The sequence below is a fragment of the Homo sapiens genome, chromosome 8 (genome assembly GCF_000001405.40).
Source record: "Homo sapiens chromosome 8, GRCh38.p14 Primary Assembly".
In the NCBI taxonomy this organism is placed as follows: domain Eukaryota; kingdom Metazoa; phylum Chordata; class Mammalia; order Primates; family Hominidae; genus Homo; species Homo sapiens.
This window is the reverse complement of record NC_000008.11, coordinates 125523405-125548677: the sequence shown is the minus strand read 5'-3', so window position 1 is coordinate 125548677 and position 25273 is coordinate 125523405. Positions and strand designations below refer to the sequence as shown.

At 45.0% G+C, this 25273-nt stretch overlaps 2 long non-coding RNA genes across 2 annotated transcripts in view, besides 4 other annotated features; both read right to left on the bottom strand.

The window, feature by feature from the left end:
• LINC02964 (long intergenic non-protein coding RNA 2964) overlaps positions 1 to 25273 on the bottom strand; it is a 160228-nt gene that overhangs the window by 131457 nt on the left and 3498 nt on the right. The gene's annotated exons all lie outside the window — the stretch shown is intronic.
• Positions 2284 to 2722: a silencer, noted in NCBI's record as "fragment chr8:126558198-126558636 (GRCh37/hg19 assembly coordinates)". NCBI's record gives its function as "represses an EF-1alpha promoter that drives an FKBP-Casp9 reporter gene in an ReSE screen in HepG2 liver carcinoma cells {active_cell/tissue: HepG2}" and the evidence as "EXISTENCE:reporter gene assay evidence [ECO:0000049][PMID:32094911]".
• Positions 2284 to 2815: a biological region, named in NCBI's record as "ReSE screen-validated silencer GRCh37_chr8:126558198-126558636".
• Positions 2626 to 2815: an enhancer, noted in NCBI's record as "active region_27919". NCBI's record gives its function as "activates an Ori minimal core promoter by ATAC-STARR-seq in GM12878 lymphoblastoid cells {active_cell/tissue: GM12878}" and the evidence as "EXISTENCE:reporter gene assay evidence [ECO:0000049][PMID:35858748]".
• TRIB1AL (TRIB1 associated lncRNA) overlaps positions 5293 to 25273 on the bottom strand; it is a 76581-nt gene continuing 56600 nt past the window's right edge. Inside the window, exons 3-4 of the long non-coding RNA NR_186610.1 lie at positions 7586 to 7768; positions 5293 to 7477 (exon numbers count right to left, since the gene is read on the bottom strand). This is a non-coding gene — a long non-coding RNA (TRIB1 associated lncRNA). The remainder of the gene's footprint in view (positions 7478 to 7585; positions 7769 to 25273) is intronic.
• Positions 15881 to 16067: a silencer, noted in NCBI's record as "fragment chr8:126544853-126545039 (GRCh37/hg19 assembly coordinates)". NCBI's record gives its function as "represses an EF-1alpha promoter that drives an FKBP-Casp9 reporter gene in an ReSE screen in HepG2 liver carcinoma cells and K562 erythroleukemia cells {active_cell/tissue: HepG2 | K562}" and the evidence as "EXISTENCE:reporter gene assay evidence [ECO:0000049][PMID:32094911]".

Here is a 25273-nt window from a genome sequence, read left to right as displayed (position 1 = left end):
CATGCCAAAAAATAATCACTGAAGGTTTCATAGTTAAGAAATCATACTTGCAAATGAATACCTAAAAATCATGGAAAAAAAACAAATCTTAGGGGCTTAGATAGCTTTTCTTTTTCTTTCAGAAAACAATATAACAAATAATGTTAATTACTAAGGATTGGATTCTTAGTTACTGAAATTCAATCATATTTTAAGAGCATGAGCACAAAAATATACAAATTCTGAGATTTTTGTATGTGTATATACATAGATATGTACATAATATGAAACACACCAGTAAGTGAAACAACAAGCAAATATTTTCAAGAATATTGGCTGGGCACGGTGACCCAGACCTCTAATCCCAGCACTTTGGGAGGCCAAGGCGAGCAGATCACTTGAGGTCAGGAGTTTGAGACCAGGCTGGCCAACATGGTGAAACTTCGTCTCTACTAAAAATACAAAAATTAGCCAGTTGTGGTGGCAGGTGCCTATAATCCCAGCTACTTGGAAGGCTGAGGCAGGAGAATTGCTTGAACCCAGGAGACGGAGGTTGCAGTGAGCCAAGATTGTGCCACTGCACTCCAGTCTCCACAGAGCAAGACTCCATCTCAAAAAAAAAAAAAAAAAAGAGTATAGATGAACCTATGGTGTAATATGGCCCCATAACTTCATAAGGATTATGCAAAATTTAGTTCCCTTACAACCACATCAATGTAACCAATATGGGATTATTCCACATGGTCTTCACAAAAGTGTTGCCGATATCTTGAGCCACTGCATTTTGCTTCAATCCTGCCAGTTGCTAGAGCTAGCAGGAATGTTTGTTCCTATTCTGTAGCATCTAAAAACATACTGTGCAGTGCACTTGCCCGTGATGGCTGTTAAGAATGACCTGATCATCAAACGGATAGACCTTGAAGGAAGGCACCAGTGGCATTTGAAGAAGTTGACCATGCAAGATGAGAGACAGGTGGTGTTTTATGGATCCAGTCTCACCTATAAGAATGACCTACACCTGTTGATAGATTGTCATGGATGATATTCCAATCCAAACTCTAAGTTCTAAGGCATGCTACCCTGATAACAATTGGACACTGTTTCTGGGAGAGGATGGTGGCATAATGGAAATTATCATGTTGTTTTTATAAACATATTCCGCACATTCTGAGATTTTTTTCCAACCCCCATTTGAAAGCTGTTGCTCTAAACCTCCTTACTTGCTTAGTCAAGGTCCCCTCATACAGAAATCTGCCAATAACAAGATGAAGGAATCTGGGTCCCCGACAAACATCCTATCAGGCTCCACCTTTGCTGTGCATAAAGGGTTATTACAAAATCCCATTTTGTAGATGACAAAAAGGTTCAGAAAGGCTGAGTCACTGCACCTCTGGTTTTCCAAGTCACCCTCAGGGAATGGCCTCTTTGCCACTCAAAGTGCAGAGATTTATGCAAGGTGTTGTTTATTTACTCAAAGGCCATCGGCCTTCTAAGCAGGCCCACGTGTGACTGGCATGTTTACAGGCCCTGGAGTTCTTGGGAACCTGAGGTATTACCAGGCTGTATCTTCACAGAGTGGCTAGAGGGTGCCACCTCCCAAACCATGACACCTGCCTGTCTCCTCCTCCACTCTGGACTGCCACACACCCCTTCCAGCCAACATGAGTTCCTCACAGTTCCTGAAACCATCTGTGCTCTCTCTTACCATCAGCTCCTTCTGATTCCATTCCATTGCCCAGAACTCTCCTCCCAAACTCTCCTCGGCCTGGGGGTGCCACTTCTCACCTTTCAGGCTTCAGCATAGTCTCATTTCTTCGAGGAAGTCCTCCTTGCACCCATTCCTCAACACCTGGATTGGGAACCCACTCTTTTTGCTCTTGTAGCATCCTGTGTTTCCTCCAGTAGAACTGCACTGAATTATAATTGATTTGGTTGGATGACAAGGTGGTATAGCACAGTGGTTAAAGGCTTGGGCTGTGCAGCCAGTTTGCCTGGGTTTAAGTCTTGGCTCTGTCTCTTACTAGCTCTGTGACCTAGAGCAAGTTGCTTAACCTCTCTGTGTCCCTGTCTCTCCCTCTATAAAATAATAATACAACCAAACTTTATTGTGATGATGAAAGGCACTTAAAGCAATGCCTGACACATAGCAAGTGTCTGATTTTTATTATTACGGTCATCAGCTGTTCTCTTGTCCCTTCCTTCACTAGACTAAGTTTGTGATTGCAGAGATCCTGTCTTAATTATCTCTTAGCACAGCATCTGGCAGACAGTAAGTGCACAGTAAATATTTGTGGAATGCATGAATGAGCAATAGAAGCCACAGTCTCTGCTAAACCCCCTGCCTACAGCTGGCTTTCTCTAGCAGCCACCTAGATTTCCATAGACTGGGGGCCCTGCAGCTGAGCTGATTTGCTCAGAGAAGATACTCATGAGGCAGAAAAACCTTGCCTGTGCTGTTCCCAGTGCTGAGCTCTCCCTCCAAACACAACTGTTCATGCCATCAGAGTTGTGCAACTCCAGGCGATGCAGCTTTGCAGGGACTACTCCTTGTCTGGCTGGGATATTGACCTGTTTTCATGGAACTGCACTTCCCCCACTGAAAGGTCCAGGAATGGAGGCTTAGCTGATGGCTCACTGGCTGCTCTATGATCCGTGAAACCTCCCCTCATCGTGGTCTGGCTGTGCCCCACAGCCCGGTGCTGCCTGCCCCTGCTCTCCACCTGCTATGGCCAGCTCTGCCTTCATCTCAATCTCAAAGGCCACCCCTCCAGAGCTTATACAGAGTACTCTTAAGTGGAAATGATTTCTCTCCACTCTGAACTCGCCCAGCCCTTTATCCACTCTTGTCTCTTCACCTCTTGGAGTCTTAATCTCCTTATCTGTGAAATAGATACCAGTGGCTCCTTCAAAGGGAGGTTGTGAAAACCAAGTGACTCAAGCAATGCTTCATATCATAAGTATTTGCTCATTTACTGGTTTGGAAGTTCTTAAAGCCAGAGATTCTCTGTTTCATCACTATATGCCCCTCGTTCTCAGCACGGCCCCTGACTCATCACAAGCATTCAATAAATATTTGCTCAATAGAGCAGTCAATCAAAAAACCAGTCAACAAACCAATAAATGATGGCAACATAGCAATATCCTACAGTTGTAATACAGAAAGTAACTGTCTTTGAGGATGTTCATTCTTTGTTTCATTTTCTTTTTTCTTTTTGATTGTTTTTAAACTAGTAATGGCCAAACCAAGTCAATTATCTCTTTCCTGGGAGGTGAATTCATAGCACATAGTGAATTCAAAATTTCATTTATTTTGAATTGAAATAAATGGCCAGAGAACTTGGACTTTGGCAAAGAAACTCTGAAAATCATCCTGGCAGTGATTTTCGGAAATAAGTGGGGGCTAATCATTCTCCCCAACTTGTAATATGGGCCTTGGCTACCATCAGCCACCTCCTTCAACCTGTGACCTCATCCTGGGCCCTTCCTGCCCTAACATCCACATGTCACCACCTGTACCCAAGGTCACCAAACTAAGTGATCGTCACTTACTCTTCTTAACAAATGAAACCTTGTTTTCCCACAGAATCCTCTAGAAACCCAAGGGGCAAGCCTAGAGAATTCCATGCTTGGGAGGTGGGGGCAAGGATCACTACCTGATTTCTTATAAGCCCTTGGCACAGGGAAACAGGAGGATGTGCCTGCTTTGGGGTGTCAGTGGTATTCAGGGAGGCCTGGTACTTTCACTGGATTCAAGTCCCCACCCTTCTTTCTCTTGCCCATTCCGTGAGCCCTGGGGAAGAAGCCCAAACTCCCTACAAGGTGGTGCTGGCAAGAAATTGCCCCATCCTCCTTATCAGACCTACTTGGCTGCCCGATCCAGACCCGTCCCTTGTACAGTCACAGGTGAGGCTCCGCCCAGGCAGTTGCAACTTGCTCAGGTGAAGCAAACTGACTCACCTGAAAGGTGAGGGTGAGCCAAAACCAGGACACCCAGGAAAGCCCAGAGCAGGTCAGTTTGGAAGCAGAATGCTGAGGAGGGACCATGGGAGGCCTGGGCTGCCCAGTCAATGACCCACTCTGCAGGATGGCCCTGCAGCCAGCTCCAGGCAGGGACTTCAGCCTCTCTTTCTCCTCCTCCCACCTCTGACTCTCCTCCCACGGCACTTGCCACAGTGGGCTGGCTGCTCAGACAACGCCTGATGACAGATGGATATGCACAGCACCATAATTCATCCGTCTAAGATGCTGGTGATTGTAAGATGCAGCATTATTTTACATACCTCTAAGAAAGAAAAACATGTTACCTACCCAATTATGACACATGGATTTTGATTACACAGAATGTGTATTTCGCACTTACTGAAAGCTTTTTTAGTTTTATTTAGAACGGGTTTTTACTCTATATCAGCTTCATGCATGCATGAAAAGGAAAATAGAAATGAGGTAAGTTGTTTAAGGTATTCCTAAAACTTAGTCACATTCAGAATCCAGCTCCTCTGAGTCACTTTTTGACTCAGAGCTGTCTATGTGCAACGTTTTCCCCACAATGCCACCCTCTGAGCCATCTGGACCCAGGGATGATCACAGGAAGGATGCAGTACTTCTTCACAGAGTGTTTTGCTCTTGCTCTTGTCTTGGGGTTTTCTTCCAAGCTACTGACATCATTCTGCCAGATTAATTGTACAGACAATGAAAACTACATCAAGAATGCCTCCTTCCCAAAAGTGACTATTAGATGTATCCCATTTTCAGAGACGATAGAAAATGAATGTGCATTTAACTTGATAATATATGGCATAATAGTGACAGCTAACAGGTATTGAACAGCTAAAACATCCCAGGGACTGTGCTAAGTACACACCCTATATATGTTATCTTATTCCATCTGCTGTCTGAGGTAGATAATAACATGAGCTAACCTTATGTCATGCTTACTTTTTGCCAGACACTGTTTAAGTACCTTGTATATATTAACTCATTTAATCTTCCCAGTGGCCCTATAAAGTAAATAATATTCCTGTTTTGCAGATGAAGATGACGACGATAAGCTACTTGCACAAGATTAACACAGTCAGTGGAAAACTGGGATTTGAATTCAGAAGTTGAGTACTAGAGTCTACGCTTAACCACGACACCATTTGTGCTGGTAATGTGCCCATTATACAGATAAGGGAACTGAGGCTTACGAGAAATAAATCCTTGCCCAAGGATACACAGCACAAGGGCCAACAGCCAAATCAACATCTGATTTGAAAGCCCGTGTTGTCTCCCATTTTGCTGTGCCATGTAGAGGAGACAAAAGGGCAAATATCAAATTCAGATATTTAGATTTAATTCTGTAATTCAGAATCCAATGTGTCATCATACTGAAAAAAATTAACTCACTTTTTTTCTTGCAAAGATGCAGGTAGTACAATTTTCTTATAGGGATCTGAAGGATGTCTCATTCATCTGTTCATTTATTCACTGAATAACTATTTTTGAAATGCCTATTATGAGCGAGGCCCTGATCTAGGTGCTTCAAGGAGCTTACAATGTAGCTGAAATAATAGACTTCGGACAAGTGATTAAAGTGTGACCAAGGGGGAAATACTATTTACAACTGCAAATGACTGGAACCCCACTGCCACTGAGGAAGACGGTTTGGGAAGGAAGCAGAGATGCAGAAAGTCAGGGGAAGATGGCAGCCAAGCTACTTGTTGGGCAGTTGGAGAATCTTGAAAACAATGACATTTAACCAACTCAAAATCAATGTATTTGCATTCTCATCATGTAACTCCCTCCATATCCATAAACCTTTCATAAAATTTGCTACGCATACAATAACCTTGAGTAAAGGCTTTTAATGGAAATCGAGAAAAGAAGTTGAGGTCCTCATCTGTGTGAATATGGGGGTGGGAAAGAGCATATATGAGAAGGACCGAGCGTAATTTGGGGGATCAGAGAAGCCTGCTGCATTGGCATAAACATTCTGACTTTGCTGACCTGCTAACCCTCACTTGTCCACGGTTCTGAAATCCTCATCTGTCTTGGTCCTTGTTGAAAACCCAGAGCCTTGAATGATGGCAGACACATAACAGGTGCTCAGTAAATATTTTTTGATTGCCTGACTACATGAATGATCTCAGCAGCCCTTCAAAATCTCTCCCACTTGTGTTTCTCTAACACTCCCCGATGTACCCTCAGAGCCTGGCACATAGTAAGTGCTTAATAAAGAGCCCTTGACTGACAAAAAACCTTTCTCCACAGTTTAGATAATCTCCTTGAACTGGCTTCCAGTGAAATTACTAGATCAAAGAGAACGGAGACAGGTAAGGCCTTGGATGTGATACCAAACTCCTCATCAAAAGGAGTGCAGAGTGCATCCTGGTCATAACATTGTAGGAGAGCACCTAGAACAATTTCTAATGTTCTTGCCAATACCTTCTTCACTTGCCCTCCACAAGGAGCTAAGGCAGCTAAGACCCACTCACCTTGAGCTCACCCTTGACCACAGTCCCTTGCTTTAGACATCACACCTGGACCACTGCCAGAGTCTCCACACTGAACTCCTTGTACCTGCTCTGATCTCTCTTAGTAACCAGCATGTTCTTTGCAAAGAGCAAAATTTGAACACATACCCTTCTGTAGCTATTTCTTTCTCCCAAACCTCTCCTATCAGTGGGCTGGGTTCTCCTGACTTTTCATCAACTCTTCCCATCCATTTCCTCTTCTTCCTCTCTATTCCACTCCCAACCCCAAATGCAGCTGTAAATAAGGCCCAGGTCTATCTGACTCCAAAACCTACTGTTAACTAACATTAATGAACCTTTTGTGCCCCTTATAAATTAAATCATGTTAATGATTCATTGGGTATATTTTTATTGGACTACCATGGTGTACAGGATTTCCAGAATCCAGATGACATAGGTATTTCTTAAGCATGTACTATGTGCTAGGCATTGACTGGACTGGTCACATTCACATATTGTCTCATTTAATTCTCATCGCAGCCCTACAAGGCTGACAAGGACACAGAGGCTCAGAGAGTGAAATAAAGAGGAGAAATGTCCCCAGTGGGAATGAAGGACAAATAAGAGCTTTTGGCCCAACTCTCCAGACTCCCAGTCTTGTGTGTTCAGTACTTATTGAACACCTAAACTTAAGTATTATACTATGGATCCAGATAAAAGGCAACTGTACTATCTCCTTTTGGCCTTACAGCGTTGTATGTTGGAAAGTTCTTTCAGGTGTCTAATCTAAATTCCTTTGGCTGCAACTCAAACCCATTCCCACCCTTCCATCCCCACCCCCATCCTTAGATAAGTACAAAAACAACAATTGCAGATGAGATTACCAAACTTCTCCTCTCATGGCTTCTGTCTTCAGTTGCCTCACAGTCCTGAGATAAGCCCCACAGAACAGGCTTCCTATCTCCCTGGGTGTTGCCTCCACCCAGCGTCACTCCTCAGCCCCTGGCCCGAGCCAGAGAAGACCAATCGCTTCAGGGGAGTCTTTTCTGAGGGGGAAGGGAAGAAAGATACAGAAAGCTGAAAGCTTCTCCCAGCTGACCACTTCTTGGGAGGTGGCCACAGGTGACATCTTGTGGGAAAACGTGTTTCCTCACCTGAGAGGCTCCCTAGATTAGGAAACAGTAATGACAGGCCAATGAACTTGCCCTTGCCCCCCGTAGTTCCCTAGAAGGCCCCACTAGATAGATACACAGCATTCTTCTTCAGTGGTTTATCAGACGAGACAAGGTCAGCCACAGCCCTCCTATGGAACTTGAAGACGACTGCATCTAGGTCCCCTAGAATACAGAATAGGCTTAGTAAATGTTTGATGACTAAATGATTTTTAAGAGTGAGAGAAAGCGTAAATGAATTAGCATGTGATTAAATGGATCAATTTAGTGAGTGAATAAATAGAAAAGTATGAATCAGAGTTAGTAAACAAATGAGTTTGTAAAAGAATAAACTTCTAAGTGACTAAATGAATGAATAAATGAGAGGAGGAAAGAGTAACAAAATTATTAAATGGGTACATGATTGAGCACGTGAAAAAAATAATGCATGAATATGTGAGTCAATTAAATGAGTGTGTGGACAATGGATGGATGGATGGATGATGAACACATTCACGACTTCTTAGAGAAAGACTAGAGCGCTAAGTTGTGGACTCTAGTGAGGCCAATAACTAGGTCTGTTTTAGTCCTTGCATTATGCCCATCCCCTAGTACAGTGCCCTATGCATGCTAAGAATTCTGATAGGTATTTGCTAATGAATAAACAGAAGGATAAATAGACATCCTCCTGGCTTCAATACACAATACACGGTACTAAAATCTTCACTGGAGTGCAGTGGCACAATCACAGCTCACTGCAGCCTTGACCTCCTGGGCTCAAAGTATCCTCAAACCTCACCCTCTGAGTAGCTGGGACTACAGGCACATGCCACCATGTCTGGCTAATTTTTACATTTTTTATAGAGACAGTGTTTGCCATGTTAACCAGGCTGGTCTTGAGCTCCCAGGCTCAAGTGATCTGCCTGCCTCAGCCTCCCAAGGTGCTGGGATTATCGGGATGCTCATAGTATCCAGGTGCCTTTGTGCAATATTCAAACTGTACCACCAGACACAGAGTCCCAAGAGACAGATGGGGTGATAATAGAGATAGACAAGGAGGAAATGTTCACTTCACATTTCAGACTCAGCCTGGATGCCATTCCACACCTTTGTCTTATGGAGTCAAACAGATGTGGATTCAAATTCAAGCTTCATTGTCTACCCCATGATTCCTGTCTTTCTCTTTCTCATGACTCTTTCCAGAGGAAACAGACTTCCACACCACAATCCTGATCAAAGCATCTCCTGCCATCTTGACAGAATCATAGCTGTCATCAAAGATGTTCCTGTGTCCCAGGAAGGGGAACATCACACACCGGGGCTTGTCGTGGGGTTGGGGGAAGGGGGTAGGGATAGCATTAGGAGATATACCTAATGTAAATGATGAGTTAATGGGTGCAGCACACCAACATGGCACATGTATACATATGTAACAAACCTGCACATTGTGCACATGTACCCTAGAACTTAAAGTATAATTTAAAAAAAAAAAAAAAGATGTTCCCGTGTCCTTCTGTTGGCCAGGCTTGGGCTGTTTCCAAGCAAAGCAAGCTTTCAGGCCTAAGCCTCTGCCATCAAGGAGCTGGGTGCTGAGAAGTGATTCCCTGGAGGCACTGTTTACAGCAAACAGCCCACACTTCCTTTGGAGACAAGTCAGAGGGTTCACCTGCTCTGCCCATTTGTTATGTGGCCTTGGGGAAGTCACTTAACCCTGCTGGTCCTCCAGGCTGTAAAAGTATTAGGACCAACCAGATGGTCTTTCTGGTCTAATGGGGAGAGCACAGGACTGAGAGTCAGCACGTCCATACAGACTACTTGTTAGTTTTGTGATCTTGGGTCCAGTCCTGATTCCCTGAGCCTCAGTTTTCTTACCTGTAAAATGAGAATAATAATTTCCCCTCCCCTGGGTTATAGAGAAGCAAAGGGGTATAGAGGAACTTTAAGAGACCTCTAAGGTATACAGAGGCCAGGCTGGATTGTTGTGGTCTGAGATGCCTGTCATCAATGAAACCTTCAGCTTGGCTTTGGTCTCTAGAACTTAAAACCCACATAGTGCATCAAGACGGTTACTTGGTCTTGGGTTGCTTTTGCTTTGAGGGCTTTTTTTCTTGTTTGAATAAACTTTTTGTTTAAGTTAGAACCATTTTCTCATTTAATTGTCCTTCAACTGAAGAACACTTATTGAACACCTAGCACACGCCAGGTCCTGCTCAGGGCATGAGAAAACCAGATTGTCATAACAAGTAGCATTACCTGAAGGCATTTGCCATACAGCAGGTAAGACTATGAATATTTTATATGCAGGAGGTCACATCATCCTCATAACACCCAATAAGGGAGCTATTCTTATTATACCCATTTGTCAGATGATAAAACTGAGGTAAGAAAGATATCATGGTTTTTTGGCCAATGATGTTATCAGTCTGTCATATATCAGTAATGAAGTTCCATGGATGTTAAGAACAAGTAGTGGGGATAACAAGAGGATATTTTTTTTCATCACTACCTATTAACACATACATCTTCCCCTCTAGATGGTAATCTCCTGGAGTAACATATTAACCCTGATATGCCATGTCTTAAGTTGTTTAATTCTTATAATAACTCATTGAAATTGGATCATTTTCCCTCTTTTTACAACTGAGGAAACTGAGGCTTAATAAGATTAGGTGGCTTGCACAAGGCCACGTGGCTGTATGAAGAGGCATGTTTGGGGCCAGATCTGCTTGACCTCAGAGTTTATGCCTGTGGCACCACATCTCACCCTTTCCTGCATCCACATGTCTAATAACCAACAGAGTGGGGTGGCAGAGATTGACACAGCCCAATGTCCATTCTCTCCTTCCTTAATAAAACTGGAAATTATGGCTGGTCACATGCTCATTTGAAATAAAGACTACATTCCCCAGACTTCCCTTATAGGTGGGTATGGCTTGAAACTAAATTCTGGCCAGAAAGATACTAGCAGTGGTGCACATAGCAACCTTCAAGAACCTTCTCTAAGACAGGGGTCCCCAACCCCAGGCCACAGACCAATACCAATCTGTGGCTTGTTAGGAACCAGGCTGCACAGCAGGAGGTGAGTGGCAGAGAAAAGGAGAGAAGCTTCATCTGTATTTATAGCCACTCCCCATCACTCACATTATTGCCTGAGCTCCGCCTCCTGTCAGATCATCGGTGGCATTAGATTCTCGTAGGAGCACGAACTCTATTGTGAACTGCACATGTGAGGGATCTAGATTGCATGCTCCTTGTGAGAATCTAGGCCAGGCGCGGTGGCTCACGCCTGTAATCCCAGCACTTTGGGAGGTCGAGGCGGGCGAGTCATGAGGTCAAGAGATCAAGACCATCCTGGCCAACACAGTGAAACCTCATCTCTACTAAAAACACAAAAATTAGCTGGGCATGGTGGCATGCACCTGTAATCCCAGCTACTCAGGAGGCTGAGGCAGGAGAATCATTTGAACCCGGAAGGCAGAGGTTGCAGTGAGCCAAGATCACGCTACTGTACTCCAGCCTGGGCAACAGAGCAAGACTCTGTCCAAAAAAAAAAAAAAAAGAGAGAGAGAGAGAGAGAATCTAATGCCTGATGATCTGTCATGGTCTCCCATCACCCCCAGATAGGGCCATCTAGTTGCAAGAAGACAAGCTCGGGGCTCCCACTGATTCTACAGTTTGGTGAGCTGTATAATTATTTCAATATGTATTACAATGTAACTGATATGATTTGGCTGTATCCCCACCCAAATCTCATCTTGAATTATAGCTCCCACAATTCCCAGGTGTTATGGAAGGGATCCAGTGGGAAGTAATTGAGTCATGGGGGCGGGTCTTTCTCATGCTGTTCTTGTGATAGTGAATACGTCTCATGAGATCTGATGGTTTTATAAGGGGGAGTTTCCCTGCACAAGCTCTCACTTTGCCCGCTGCCATCCATCTAAGACATGACTTGCTCCTCTATCCCTTCTGCCATGATTGTGAGGCCTCCCCAGCCATGTGGAACTTTAAGTCCATTAAACCTCTTTCTTGTATAAATTACCCAGTCTCAGGTATGTCTTTATTAGCAGCATGAAAACAGACTAATATAGTAACAATAATAGAAATAAAGTGGACAATAAACATAATGTGCTTGAATCATTCAAAACCATCCCCTTCCCCAATCCATGGAAAAATTGTCTTCCACAAAACCAGTGCCTGGTGCCAAAAATGTTGGGGACTGCTGCTCTAAGAGGCAGCTGACTCGAGTCCCTACTCCTTCTTCCATCTGCTGTGTGATGCATGGAGGTGCTGGCTGGAACACCACTTTGCCCCATGAGGGGACCAGGCATGCCAGGCAGAGCAACAAGATAGAAAGAACCTGGGTACCTAGGGATTTCACAGATCAGAGATGCCCTGCCTGACCTGAACTACCTATATCCAGACTAACATGAGAGAGAAATTCCCATATTGTGTAAGTCACTGTTCCTGGAGTTTTACCTTTATTCACAGATGAATTAATCCCAACTGAGAGTGAGTGTGAAGAGTTGGCTTTGGTTTTCTATGCTCCCTGTTATAGAATTCTACAAACACTTTCCCTGGGGCTTGCAATACCTCCCACTACAGTCGGTGGAATGTATCTCCCTGGCCTATTGATGATGGGCCTGGTGGTGCGAAGAGCTTTGGGAAATGAAATAATAGCCGATTTGATTGGACCAGGGCCTTTAATGTCTCTGCATGATTTTGCTTTACCTTTACCTCTTGCACTTCTTTAATCTACCATAAGATGATAATGTCCCGGGCAGCCCCTGCTCCTTCAGCTTAAGCTCAGAATAAAGACATAGAAAGAGAAAGAAATTCAACTAGAGGCCTGAGTCGAGCCTGCCTGGCCAAGGCAAAGCTAGATCAGCTGAAGTACAGCCAATCCGCAGACCCACAAGTGGGAAAAATAAACATATGCTATTGTAATGCCACTGAAATTTTGAAGGATTGCTTTTTTCTACAGCATCGTTTTATAGTTAATATAGCAGTTAATCAATACCTTATTCATTGAGTTCCTATGATATACAAGCACGGTGCAAGGCGTTATGGATACAGTGGTGAATATGGATGTCCCTGCCCTTATGCAAGACACTGTGGAGTCATGATCAAAACAACACGGGCAGAACTGGCTTCAAATCCCAACTCCACCACTTCCTAGCCAGTGACCTCCAGCGACTGATTTAACCTCAGTCTCTGGCCTCCCAGGGTTGTCACGAGGATTAAATGAGATCAAATGTGTAAAGCTCCAGTACAGAGCATGTTACACAATAAGTACTCAGTAAGGGGTAATATTAGTAATAACCAATAGCTTTGCTCAAATAGAATAGCCACTTATACATGCAGGGAAATCAGACCTACTTTAACACATTCCTCTTTTCCATTAACACAATGATAGCCATGCCTACCAGGTTTTCCAAGGTAGTCCCAGTCATACTACCCTTTTCCATCATTCTCAAGAGTCTGGCTGAACTCTCCATGACTGTGCCGCTTATGGAGCTGCCATCCTTAATGGGCTTGCCCTGGGCCACACAAGCACCAGTCACTTTTTCTTCCTCATTAGTCCCCTGGCCTGTGGGTCTGCACTCTGCTGCCTGAACTTCCAGGTAGCAAATAGGCCCAGGGAGAAACAGGTTATTCACCCAAGGTCACCTCACAAGGCAGCCTCAGAACAAGGGTTATAAAACTATCAAGAGAGGAAAGGAGGGAAGGTGAGGAAGCTATGAGAGATGGTGCCTGAATCAACTGGCATTGGGTCAATTGCTCTGTAGCAAGTGATTTCTGCAGAATTAGATTAGTCATGCAGACACCTGTCTCCTTCAGAAACAACTGCAAATATGAAATCACTTTTTTAAGTCAACACATGTGATATGTATAATTAGGTGCACATGCGTATCTATGGACCCAGAGAAAGACAGCAGAGATAAGACAAAGGGAAAAAAACAAGAAGATGACAAGGTTTCAATCTGGGGGATTGCATCAGAAAATATAAATAATACCCCCTTCCCCCAAAAATGATTTATGAAAGTAGCAGCCCAGTTATTTGAAAATTAGGGTCATGCTCTTTTCTGATAAATCCAATGACCTTCTTTTTATTTCACTTTTGTGCAAATAAGTTTTTTCCTTTCTGAAAATTTTCTATTGCTATTTTGCTTATATAGCAAAGATTTTAGACAGTCACTATATTTTTTATTTTACTTTTTCTCTTTCATCTTTATTCTCTCTCGCTCTTTTGATTAATGTATTTGGTTTTTATTGTATATCTTTAAGGTGCAATGATCACCTCTCAGTGGCCAAATTTTTCAGCCCCTCCTCAGGCCCTTCCCTCCTTGGCCTCTGCTATGCCAGGCCCTGCTGGGCACCATCTCTCCTGCGACAACCACAGTCCTTACTTCCCTTGGCTTCATGATGTCACTCTCTCCGGGGTCATCTGCCACCTCTCTGACCACGCTCTCTCACTCTGTCTTTTTGATGATCCTTTTCCACCCTCACCTGAAATGTTGCTGTTTCTCTTGGTTCCTCTCCTGACCTTGCTTCCATCTTTCCCACAACTCTGTGCTTGTGCTGCTGCCTCCCACTCTCTCCCCACTGGAATGTCAAATCTGTTCAGGGCTTGACTTGGCTTACACTCTCACCACTCTAGAAATGGTTCCCAAGTTTTTATCCAACACCAAGTGACTCTTCTGAGCCATGCACACAGCTCCCACTGTTTCATCTCCTAACTCAGGGGTCAGCACATTTTTTTTCTGTACAGAAACAAATCATACATTTCTAGGTTTTGCGAACCATCAGTGCCAATCACAATTGTTCCGCTCTGCCATTGGGGCACAAAAGCAGCCACAGACATTAGTAACTGAATGAGCATGCCTGCATCCCCATAAAACATCGGTTACAAAAACAAACGGTGGCTCTTATTCTGCCTCCAAAGAAGAACTGATGGCTGTGATCAGTGAGTATTCCTCCAGCTGAATAAAGATGATCCCACTGGTCCTCTTACTTGTTGGCTGCACATTGGAGCCACCTGAGGAAATTGTAAAACTCCCAGTGCCCAAGCTGTATCCTAAACCAATGAACTCAGAACCTCTGAAGCTTCACAGGTGATTCTGACGTGCAGTGAAGGTTGAGACCCACATACTATCCCACCATTGCCAGCTTGATGAATCCCAGCCCCGTCAGCATGCACGGATTTAACAGGTGGTCTCTATTTATTTAAACTTACATCATCACCTAGGAAAAGTGTCAAGAAGTACCCTAAAGACCCTTTCCTCATAAGAAATTGTGTGTCTATTTTGTTTCTTTTTAATACCCTACCTAAAGACAACATGATAAAGTGGAAAGAGTACTGGACAAAGCGTACATTTTTAGGTTTTGCAGATACAAAAAAGTAATGGGAACACTTGCCTTCTGTTTACAATTCTGGCACTCACTCTCCGAATGATTCTGAGTGCACCATTTCACCATTTGCAAAATGAGGGGGTTGTAGTAGGTGGTTTCTGAAGTCTAGGTAGCTCTGATGGGCTATAATTTGTCTTCTCTGCCAATAGTTGTATTTATTACTAAAAAGTTAAACAGCATCATTAATATTGTATGTAATAGATGATTCATAATACAAAAATAACTGATGTTTACCTAGTGCTTTGGAATATTCAAAGCTGCTGTTTTCATATATATTGTCATGTTTTATCCCCACAACAACCCTTTAAGGTAGCTATTATTATGCCCTGTGGGAGGCAGTCTCTAAAGCGGTCTCCAGTGATCCTGGCATCCTGGTATTCATGCCCTTGTGTAATTCCCTCCTGTTGACTGTTGGCCTGGTGACTTGTTTCTAACAAACAGAACAGGGCAAAAGTTATGAGATGTCATTTCCGAAATCAAGTCTGTATTAGTCTGTTTTCATGCTGCTGATAGAGACGTACCCAAGACTGTGACATTTACAAAAAGAAAAGAGAGAGAGAGAGATTTAATTGTACTCACAGTTCCATGTGGCTGGGGAGGCCTCACAATCATGGTGGAAGACAAGGAGGAGCAAGTCACATCTTACGTGGATGGCAGCAGGCAAAAAAAGAGCTTGTGCAGGGAAACTCCTGTTTTTAAAAACCATCAGATCTCATGACACCCATTCACTATCACAAGAACAGCATGGGGAAGACCTGCCCCCATGATTCAGGCATCTCCCACTGGATCCCTCTCACAAAACATGGGAATTATGGGAGCTACAAGGTAAGATTTGGGTGGGGACACACAGCCAAACCATATCAAAGTCATGAAGGATTATGCTTTCCATCTTGTTCACACTCCCTCACTTGCCTTTAACTCATGCAGTCTGCCATACTGTGAGCTGCCCTCCATAGATATGAAGATGCCCACTGCACAAGGAAAGGAGGAGACCTCCGCCCAACAGCCAGCCTGGAACTGAAGTCCTCGCCTCCATATTATAATCCAAAAGGAATTGGATCTTTCCAACAGCCACATTAGTGAGCTTGGAAGTGAATCCTTCTCTAGCGAATAACCAGCCAACATCTTAGCTGCAGCTATCATGAGAGCCCTGGAACCAGAGGACCCAGCTAAGCTCCACCCAGATTCCTGACCCACAGAAACTGTGAGACAAGAATTTGTTCATTTGTTTTGGGACAGTAGGCATTGGGCTAATTTGTTATGCAGCAAAAGATAACTAATACGTCCCTGTTTGACACATGGGGAAGGGGAGCAGGAACTCAGTATGCCCATAGATTATGACCTTGATGGATAGTGGTTTTACTAAGAAACACTATTCAGATAACATCCCAACTCCATTTTGCTAAACCTTGTGTTTGACAGAGTAGGGCCCTTCTTACTGTCTGTGCTATAGAGAGGTATTTGGTCTTTGTCCCCAGTTCCTAGCACAGAGCTCCTAAAACCCTTGGAATTTCCTGAGTGATAAAGGTAATGGGAGTCCCTTTTGTTCTAATGAAGCGACTCTTGGTGGGCCCCTAGATGGCTTCCAGATGGGAACTAGTTGCCAGAAAGACTAAGCCTTGATTAGAAGCTTGAAATTTTTAGCCTCTTCAACCTCCAGGGAGGAGAGAAGGAATACAGAGTGAGTTCATCACCAAAGGTGAATGATTTAGTCAATTGTGTTCATGTAATGAAGTCTCCATTAAAAACCTCTAAACAACAGGATTGGGAGAGCTGAAATGGCAGCTCATCCCAGCTCCGCAGGGACAGAAGCTCCTGTGCTCAGGACGCTTGCAGACCTTGCCCTAGGTCCCCTCTTCATCTGGCTGTTCATTTGCTTCCTTTATAATAAAGCAAAAATGGTTACGTGAAGTGTTTTCTGGAGTTTTGTGAGCCATTCTAACAAATCATCAAACCTGAAATGCGCAGTTGGTTGTGTGAACCTTCCAGGCTTTGTAGCGAAGTTGGACAGCAGTGTGATCACCTGAGGAACTGGTGCTGTGACTGGCATCTGAAGCGAGGGCAGTCTCGTGGGACTGAGTCCCTAAGCCTGCGGCGTTAGTGTCCAAATTGAATTGAAATGTAGGACGCCCAGTGGGTATCCAGAGAGTTGGAGAGTTAGTTGGTGAGAGAAGAAAACCCACACATTTGGTGTCAGAAGTGTTGTGAGTAAAAACAGCTCCCACCCCTAACAAATCCATGAGCATAGGGCCTAGTGGGAGATAAGAAGAATGTTGCCTCAAATTGGCAAACTCCCAAGCCTATGGGGAAGATGGGGAGAGAGGGAGGCTGACAACCAGCTCTGACCTTCGGGAAAACTTCCCATGAGTCATCTCCAGAACCTGTGGGCTTTGGAGCCCTCCGCAGCCGTAGGCGTCAGAGGTCACCACCCCATCTCCACCAGAGCATCTTCCTGAAGTGAGGAGAAAGCCGTGGGCTAGCCACTGAGTTAGCATCTATCTTCTCTTTCATTTGAACTCCACCTTGCGCTTTCTCGTGCAGTGTCCTGAAAGAGCTGGCATCCTTACCCACTTGACAGGTGAGAGAGTCCTTGGCACCACTTAGCCTTCTGAGGCTTGTAGAGGTCATGCTGGCTACTCAAGGTCATGCAATCAGAGGCAGTAGCAGAACTGGAAAGCAGGTTTCCTGTCCCACGGTGGCCCAATGTATTTCTCCTAACACCAGCTGTGTGTTCGCTCCCAAGAGCTAAGCAGCAGAGGGGGTGGGATACTTTGAAAGAAACAACCCCAGGGAAAGGGCAAAAAATGAAGACTGTGCAACTTGAGGCACTGATGCATTTTGGGGCAGAGATATTTTGAGGCTATAAGGTTGTACTGTGCTACTCAAGCCAGGGAACCTCATGCACGCCCTCCTTATCCTGTGCTTAAGCATGTCCTAGACTCTTTGGAAATCAGTGGGATTGTAGGTCCATTTCCCTCCCCTAGAACTGGGAGGGGAAGGAGGATGACATCAACTCTTAAATATCATGGAGCCTTTGCTATAAAAACACATCACAACCAGGGGCTGGGGGGAGAGAGGAATGGATGATACTGTTTTATGGTACAGAGTTTCCATTTGGGATAATGAAAATGTTCTCAGATGGATCATGGTGATGGTTACATAATAATGTGAATGTACTTAATGCCACTGAACTGGATGCTTGAAAATAGATAAATGGTAAGTTTTATATTATGTATATCTTACTCCAGTAAAAAGAGCAAGAGAGAGAAAACCAAAAATAAAACGAAATTACAAGTTCCCTCTCGAGCCAGTGGGAGGGCTCCGAAAAAGATGCTATGTCCTCTGTGGAGTGAGGATTCTCGGAGACCTTCTCAAACCCAGAGGCCACAGAGGAAGCTATGCCTTTATCCCAGCAAGACTGGCCTGAACTGCTCCACAGCTCCACAGTGTAAGAGAGACAAGCAAATAAACAGCTGCACAAAGCAGGAATGAGGTCAGAATTTCCAAGATGGCGACTCAGGGAATACCAGGGATGGGAAGACTCTTAAAAAGTCATCTGGTCCAACCCCCTCATTTTATAAGTGGAAGAATTGAGTCCCAGAGAAGGGAAGCGCTGGCCCACACAGGCTGTCAGTCCACAGAGGAGCCAGAAGCCATGCAAATGCACCTGGGTTCAAATCCAGCTCTGGTGTGCTGTGGGACTGCTGCACTGACCTCACCTCTCCAATCCTCAGCTTATCCATCTCTAAAAAAAAAAAAAGAAGAAGCATACTGTGTCACTCATCAAGGTTTTGGGGAAGAGGTCAATGAGAGTGGGCATCTCAAGAGCTATAGAAAGGGCCTGGTCTGCAGTGGGCACCCTCTCCCCACCTGGTTCCTCTAAAAGCTTTTGTCTGGACTCTCAGCCATTGCTGCCCCTGCTCTTGTAGCCAACAGAGTAGGAAGTGGGGAGACAGCCTGACCCAGGCATCACCACACCATGGGGACAGAGTCATCTACTGAGCAGGGCCTGAGAGGAAGGGACGCCCAGAGCTGGCAATGTCTGGGGGTCTAAAAGCTGGTTCCATTCCCTTGGAGCCATTCCGAGGATACATCGTTGCCCACCAGAGTCTCCTTCTTCCCCAGGGGGCTGGGACTTCTGCACCCACAAAGAAGGAAGATGGGTCTGGGGCACACAGAGCCAGGTGGTCTTCTAAGGGTTTTGCCACCATCGTCCATTCAAACCTCACCCCAACCGAATGAATGAGGGCAACAACACTTTCATTTTGTAACCGAGGAGGCTGAGATGGGGAGGCTGGGAAGCCTGACCAGCCTCCTAAAGCCAGGAAACAGTTGAGCACAACTTCAACCCAGAGTCCCCAGGAAGAGGAGACAAAACTGGATTTGTGTTTGGTTCCCAGCTCTATACCAGGGCCAAATGATCACGGGCGGGTCATTTCAATTCCTAGACTCAATTTCCTCACCTGTAAAAGGACATTGATAACATGGGCCCCACCTGGCAGGTGAGAGGATTCTCGTGGGATTCTCACTCGAAAGCACCTGGCAGACAGGCTCAGGAAATGACCGTGGCTCTTTCCTTCCTCGAGGGGTCACCCCAACACTTCCGCATGCCCCCACCCAGGAGCCCCGCTCGAGCCCGGGTTTGTTGACACCACATCCGGGCCTGCGTGGTGTTGTCACCCGCATTGCACCACCACACCTCACCAGTGACATAACCTCTCCAGTCTCTCCCCCAACCCAGGCTGGTGCAACCCAGGCTCTGCTGACACATCCTTGTTGAAATTCGAAACCAGATACTGTTTGCTTGCTGGTTTGTTGGAGAGCAAAGCCAAGTCTAGCCTCCTTTTCTCTTCTCTCTTTCTCTTTCTTTGCCTTGGAAGCCTGGGAAGACTGCTGGGAGCCAGGAGCTAGGAGTGGACACACATGTAGCAGAGCCAGGCCCAGCCCATCTGGCACATCCCATGGGTTCCTGAGGCAAGATGGCATGAGGCACGAGGTGCATACAGTAAGGTGGTGGTGTGGGTAAACAGGCCTGCCAGTTGAAACCCATTTCTCAGCCATGAGAGCCCAAGAAGGCTTGACAAATAGAGACGGAGCCAGCCTGCATTCCTAAGAGCAAGTCTCTATTCACTGACACATGCCAACCTATTTTTTGAGCACTATGTCCTAGGGTCATTTGCTGGGGACACTGTCATGATTAAGGCCAGATCAGAAGTTTCAGCCTCACGGCCGCACATTCTAGAAAATCGCACAGACAATAGCCAGCTAAACTTACAATCAAACGAGAGTGCTTCTGATTGTGAAAGGTGTTTTGCAGGAAACAAAAGTGCTGATACGATTATAACTGAGGCAGGGGAATGCTGAGTGGGGTGCTGAGGAGGTGACAGTGAGCTGAACCCCAGAAGATGAGAAGAAGCCAGCAGTGCAAAGAGCTGGGGGTAGAATTTTCCAGAAAATGTTCACCAATGCAAAGTCCACAAGGTAGTGAGAAAGGCTGGCTGGCTTGCTCAAAGATTAAGAAGGGGCTGGACTGGCTGGCGTATGCAGGGTGAGGGAAAGGGGTGAGGCCTGAGATGCCTCCAGGTGCCAGGTCATGCTGGACATGGCAGGAGTTAGGACTTGATTTGGAGGGAGATTTTAAACACATTGTAGGATCCTTCCCTTCCTGGAGCCTTGGGTCCCAAATGCCTGGGGGACAAGGGTAACCAACACAACTCTTGCTCACAGGCACAGGAAGGAACCGCAGAGTCTGTCCAGATCAATGCCCTTCCACTTTGTAGATGGGTAACAGCCCAGAGATGGGAAGGGACGTGCACAAGATGGGAATGGGCGTGCCCATGGTTGCACCGTGTGGTGTGGCAGAGCAGGAACTGGAACACAGGCGGCTGGAAGTGAAAGTGGAGCTCAGGCTTTTTAGCAGTTACTATGTGTGATTTCCTTTTCATCATCACATCAACCCCATTTTTTTTTTTCAGATGAGAAAGGGAAAGTGACCTCCTAAGATTCCACAGCGAGAGGTGCTAGGGGAGCCAGGCTCCAAATTAAGGTCAGCACCCAAACTCTTTCCACTGGGCTGCCTTGGATTTACATAGATATCCCTACAGTCCCAAGCTGCTAAGTCCAGACCTAGCACTTACTGAAAGCTGCTGGCAGTTTCTCTGGGAAATACCATGAGTTACAAGCAGATGAAACAAATGAGCCAGTTGCCCTCACGCATCAGTCCATTAAGAAACAAATGGAAATACATTTTTTAAAAAGTAATAAAAAGGCAGGGTGCGGTGGCTCATGTCTGTAATCCCAGCACTTTGGGAGGCTGAGACAGGAGGATCACTTGAGCCCAGGGGTACAAGACCAACCTGGACAACATAGTGAGACCCTGTCTCAATAAAAAAAATTTTAAAAATTATTTTAAAAAAGAAATAAATGAATGCTTTTTAAAAAAATAGATCAAGGAAACCATTTATAAATATATACTACTATATGTATACTTTCCATAATCAAACATAGCTCTGAGAATATATATTGAAATGGGCCTAGGGCAGAATTTTTCTGTGTGAGTCATCTGCTAGATCTTGCTCCCTGTAGTGCTGTGGACCTCAAACTTTAGCCGCATCAAATTGGGAAGGTTTGTTAAATCACAGATTGCTGGATCTTATACTCAGAGTTTCTAATTCAGTAGGTCAGGGGTGGAGCCTGAGGCTTTGCATTTCTTGCGAGTTCCCAGGTGATGGTGATGCTGCTGGTTTGAGTGCCACACTTTGAGAACCACTGCTATAGTGGATGCTGTGGTGCCCTACCCAGATGAATCTCCCTTAGGGACAAAGGCTGGCTCAGCTCCCAGGAGTGTTGGCTGCTAACGGCTCAGAGCCCAGTCCCTCCCCAGGAAGCGCCCTTCACTGAAGGGCACTGCCTCACCCAAAGTCATGTCCCCTCACTGGCAACCCACGACTAGCAATGTAGAAGTTCAGAGGCCTCAGTCTGAGAGAATTCTGCAGGATCATCTCAGCTTCAGGGTCCCCCATGCAATCGACTAAGGCCTCTTCTGTGACTGCATCAGAGAGTTGAACTCTGCATCAGAGTTCAACTTCTCCCACTGGCCAATCTGAGATTCTTCACCCGCTTGCAGGTGTTGTTTCCAAAGCACTCCCCAGTAAGTACCCAGGATCTAGATTTCTGTCTCAAAGTTTATTTCTTGGGATACAAGAATTAAGACAGTTGGTATCAGAAGTGGGGTGGTCTAAGGAGCAGACTAAATGAGACTTTATAACTGGATCATCCACTCACTGGCTGGCGGACATCACTGAGGTGACAGGATGGTGGTAGGTGGAGTATGAACAGCCCTTGGGGTGATAGAGTGACATAAATGTGAAGCCTTTCACTGGTGGTAAATTGGGATGGACTACTTGGGGAAGGGAATGAACCAACGGGTGCAATATCTCAGGCTTTTGAGAGGTTTGGATGAAGTACTAACTATAATGACAACAAAATGGGGTGGCTTGCTGAGTGCTACTAACGTGCTACAGAAAGACAATGGAAATTGCCAGCATAAGGCAAAGCATCAAAGTCAGAGGGCCTCTTTGGTAGCATGTACAGAGTTCCCCTCTCCTGCATCCAAAGGACAGAAAAGGCCCAGAAGCAGGCCCAGGTCTTAATTATGAGGGTAACAGAGCACCAGAAAATTCTCAACCTGGGTAATTCTGTCATGCCAAGGTTAGGGCTTCGATTAGAAAGAAGTGGGGCCCTAAGCTGTTGGATAGGGACAGTAGGGTTCATGCCCTCAAGAATCCTTAAACTCCCAGATACTCAGGACTCTCTGAGCCTGCAGAAGTGTCCCAGGACTCCTAGTAAATACTAGCACTCCCTCCTAGCTTAAAAATGATACAGAAGCTTCTATGTTACATGAAAATAAACACCCCCTTCACCTCTCAGTTTAGACCCCACTTTACCCCCTGACTGCCAAATCCATAACTAGAGCCAAGTTATAGCATTATCCAGCCAGAAAATACTGGGCCTGGTAGACTTCTGTGATAGCAAGGGGGATGATAGGATCCCAAAATAATAGATGCCAGATGGCACTTAACCATCAAAGGGAAGATGATTGCAAATATTGTAATGAGCAGCCAAGTCACCAAAGCAGCTGGGGGCCTGACCCACAGACAGCTATGGAGATGATTAATAGAACACGACATTCCTGAAGCCTAGCTAGACAGGCAGCTAACAAGGGAATTGCTCAATCTATGCAGTCAAAATAAACCAAGACTCAGGATCCCATGCCAAGCTTCTAGACCTGAACCTATTTTCAGACATGAAACCCATTGACTGAAGAAAAGACCAAACCTCCAGGTAGAAAGACTCTGCACAACCATGTCAAAGTATCTCCCAGCTTTTATTCTGTTCATAGTCAGAAATGTTAAGGACTGTGGATACATGGTCTGAGTTGATACATGGAGATCCAAAATATTATTTTGGCCCTTGTTCGAATGGGAGTGTATGGAGGCCAGGTAACAAATGGAGTCCAGACTCCAGTCCAGGTCACAGCCAGGTCCATGGACTCACCCAGTAGTCTTTCCTCAGTTCCTCGTATACAACTGAAATAAACATACTCGGTAATTGGCAAAACCCCCATGGCTTATGAGACAAGAGCTATCAAGGTGGGGAGAGTGGGTTCCGAAGGTGAAACTTGGGAAACTGCCTCAACCCACCCGCCACTAACAAAGATAGTATTAGATTGGTGCAAAAGTAATTGTAGTTTTTGCATTGAAAGTAATAGCAAAAACCACAATAACTTTTGCACCAACCTAATAAATCAAAATCAGTATTGCATCATGAGGGAATGGTAAACATCAGTGCCACACTGGAATGACCACCTGGACATTCCACAAAACATTGCATTGGTCAGCTTTATTAACATGACCCTATTAATCAGCAAGCAATGAGCAAGAAGTGGCAAGTATCTTGGAAGTAATGAGTAAGTAATGAATAAGAAGTGACAAGTACCCTGGAGGATTTATTTATTTATGTATTTATTTATGTATTTATTTATTTATTTTGAGACGGAGTTTCACTCTTGTTGCCCAAGCTGGAGTGCAATGGCGTAATCTCAGCTCACCACAACCTCCGCCTCCCAGGTTCAAGCGATTCTCCTGCCTCAGCCTCTCGAGTAGCTGGGATTACAGGCATGCACCACCATGCCCGGTTAATTTTGTATTTTTAGTAGAGACCATGTTAGCCAGGATGGTCTCAAACTCCCGACCTCAGGTGATCTGCCCACCTCAGCCTCCCAAAGTGCTGGGATTACAGGCGTGAGCCACCGCACCCGGCTTTCCCTAGAGGTCTTGACAAGACATAAGCACTCCAGAGGATGAGAGTGAAGATTCAGGGTCCTGCCATATCAGCTTTAATGGATTCCTGGAAAGGCCAGGATATCCCCTCCAAAGTAAAGGGCAAATTATTATATCTTGCACCTCCTACCACAAAGGAAAAAGCACAATACCTGGTAAGCCTCTTTGGGTTCTGGATTTAGCATATTTCACACACTGTAGTAATAATCCATGCCAATTACCAAGTGACACAGAAGACTGCCAGCTTTGAATGAAGCCTAGTGCAGAAAAAGGTATGCAGTAGATCCTGGTTATGGTATAAGTAACCCCCAGTACTGGAGCCATAAGCCCAGTTAAAACCCATGGTCTTACAGGTAAGTCTGAAGGGGGAAAGATGCTGTGAGGAGTTTATGGCAAGCCTCAGTAGAAGAATCACAATGTGCACTCATGGGTTTTTGTCATAAAGCCACGATATCTGCAGCTCCTGGTGTGCCACTGGACCCTAATAGAAATAGAGCACTTGACTAAAGAATATCACATGACTATGTAGCTGGAAGTGCCCATCATGAGCTGGGACCTTAGACATGATTTAATCCATCCCACTGGTTTGATAGATCAGGTATCTGAGATTCCGCAAGAGGAAGCAATTTACTTTTAGGAAGGCTTTTGGGTGAAAGTAACAGAACTCAATCAACAAAGACTTAAATGAGAGTACGTTTTTTTCATATAAGAAGTCCAAAGGTAGGTGGTTGCTGCAGTGACCCAGCTGCTTATAGATGCTGTCAGAACCCTGGATCATTCTATCTTTCTGCTCTGCCAAGCTTAATATGGATGGGACCATCATGCCTGCTGCCTCATGGTCATAAGATGGTCATTGCATCTGGTGGAAAACAGGGGTGCCAGCTTCCTCTATCTCTTCTATCAAAAATCAAAGCCCCCTTTATGAGTTGTCTATTGCTAC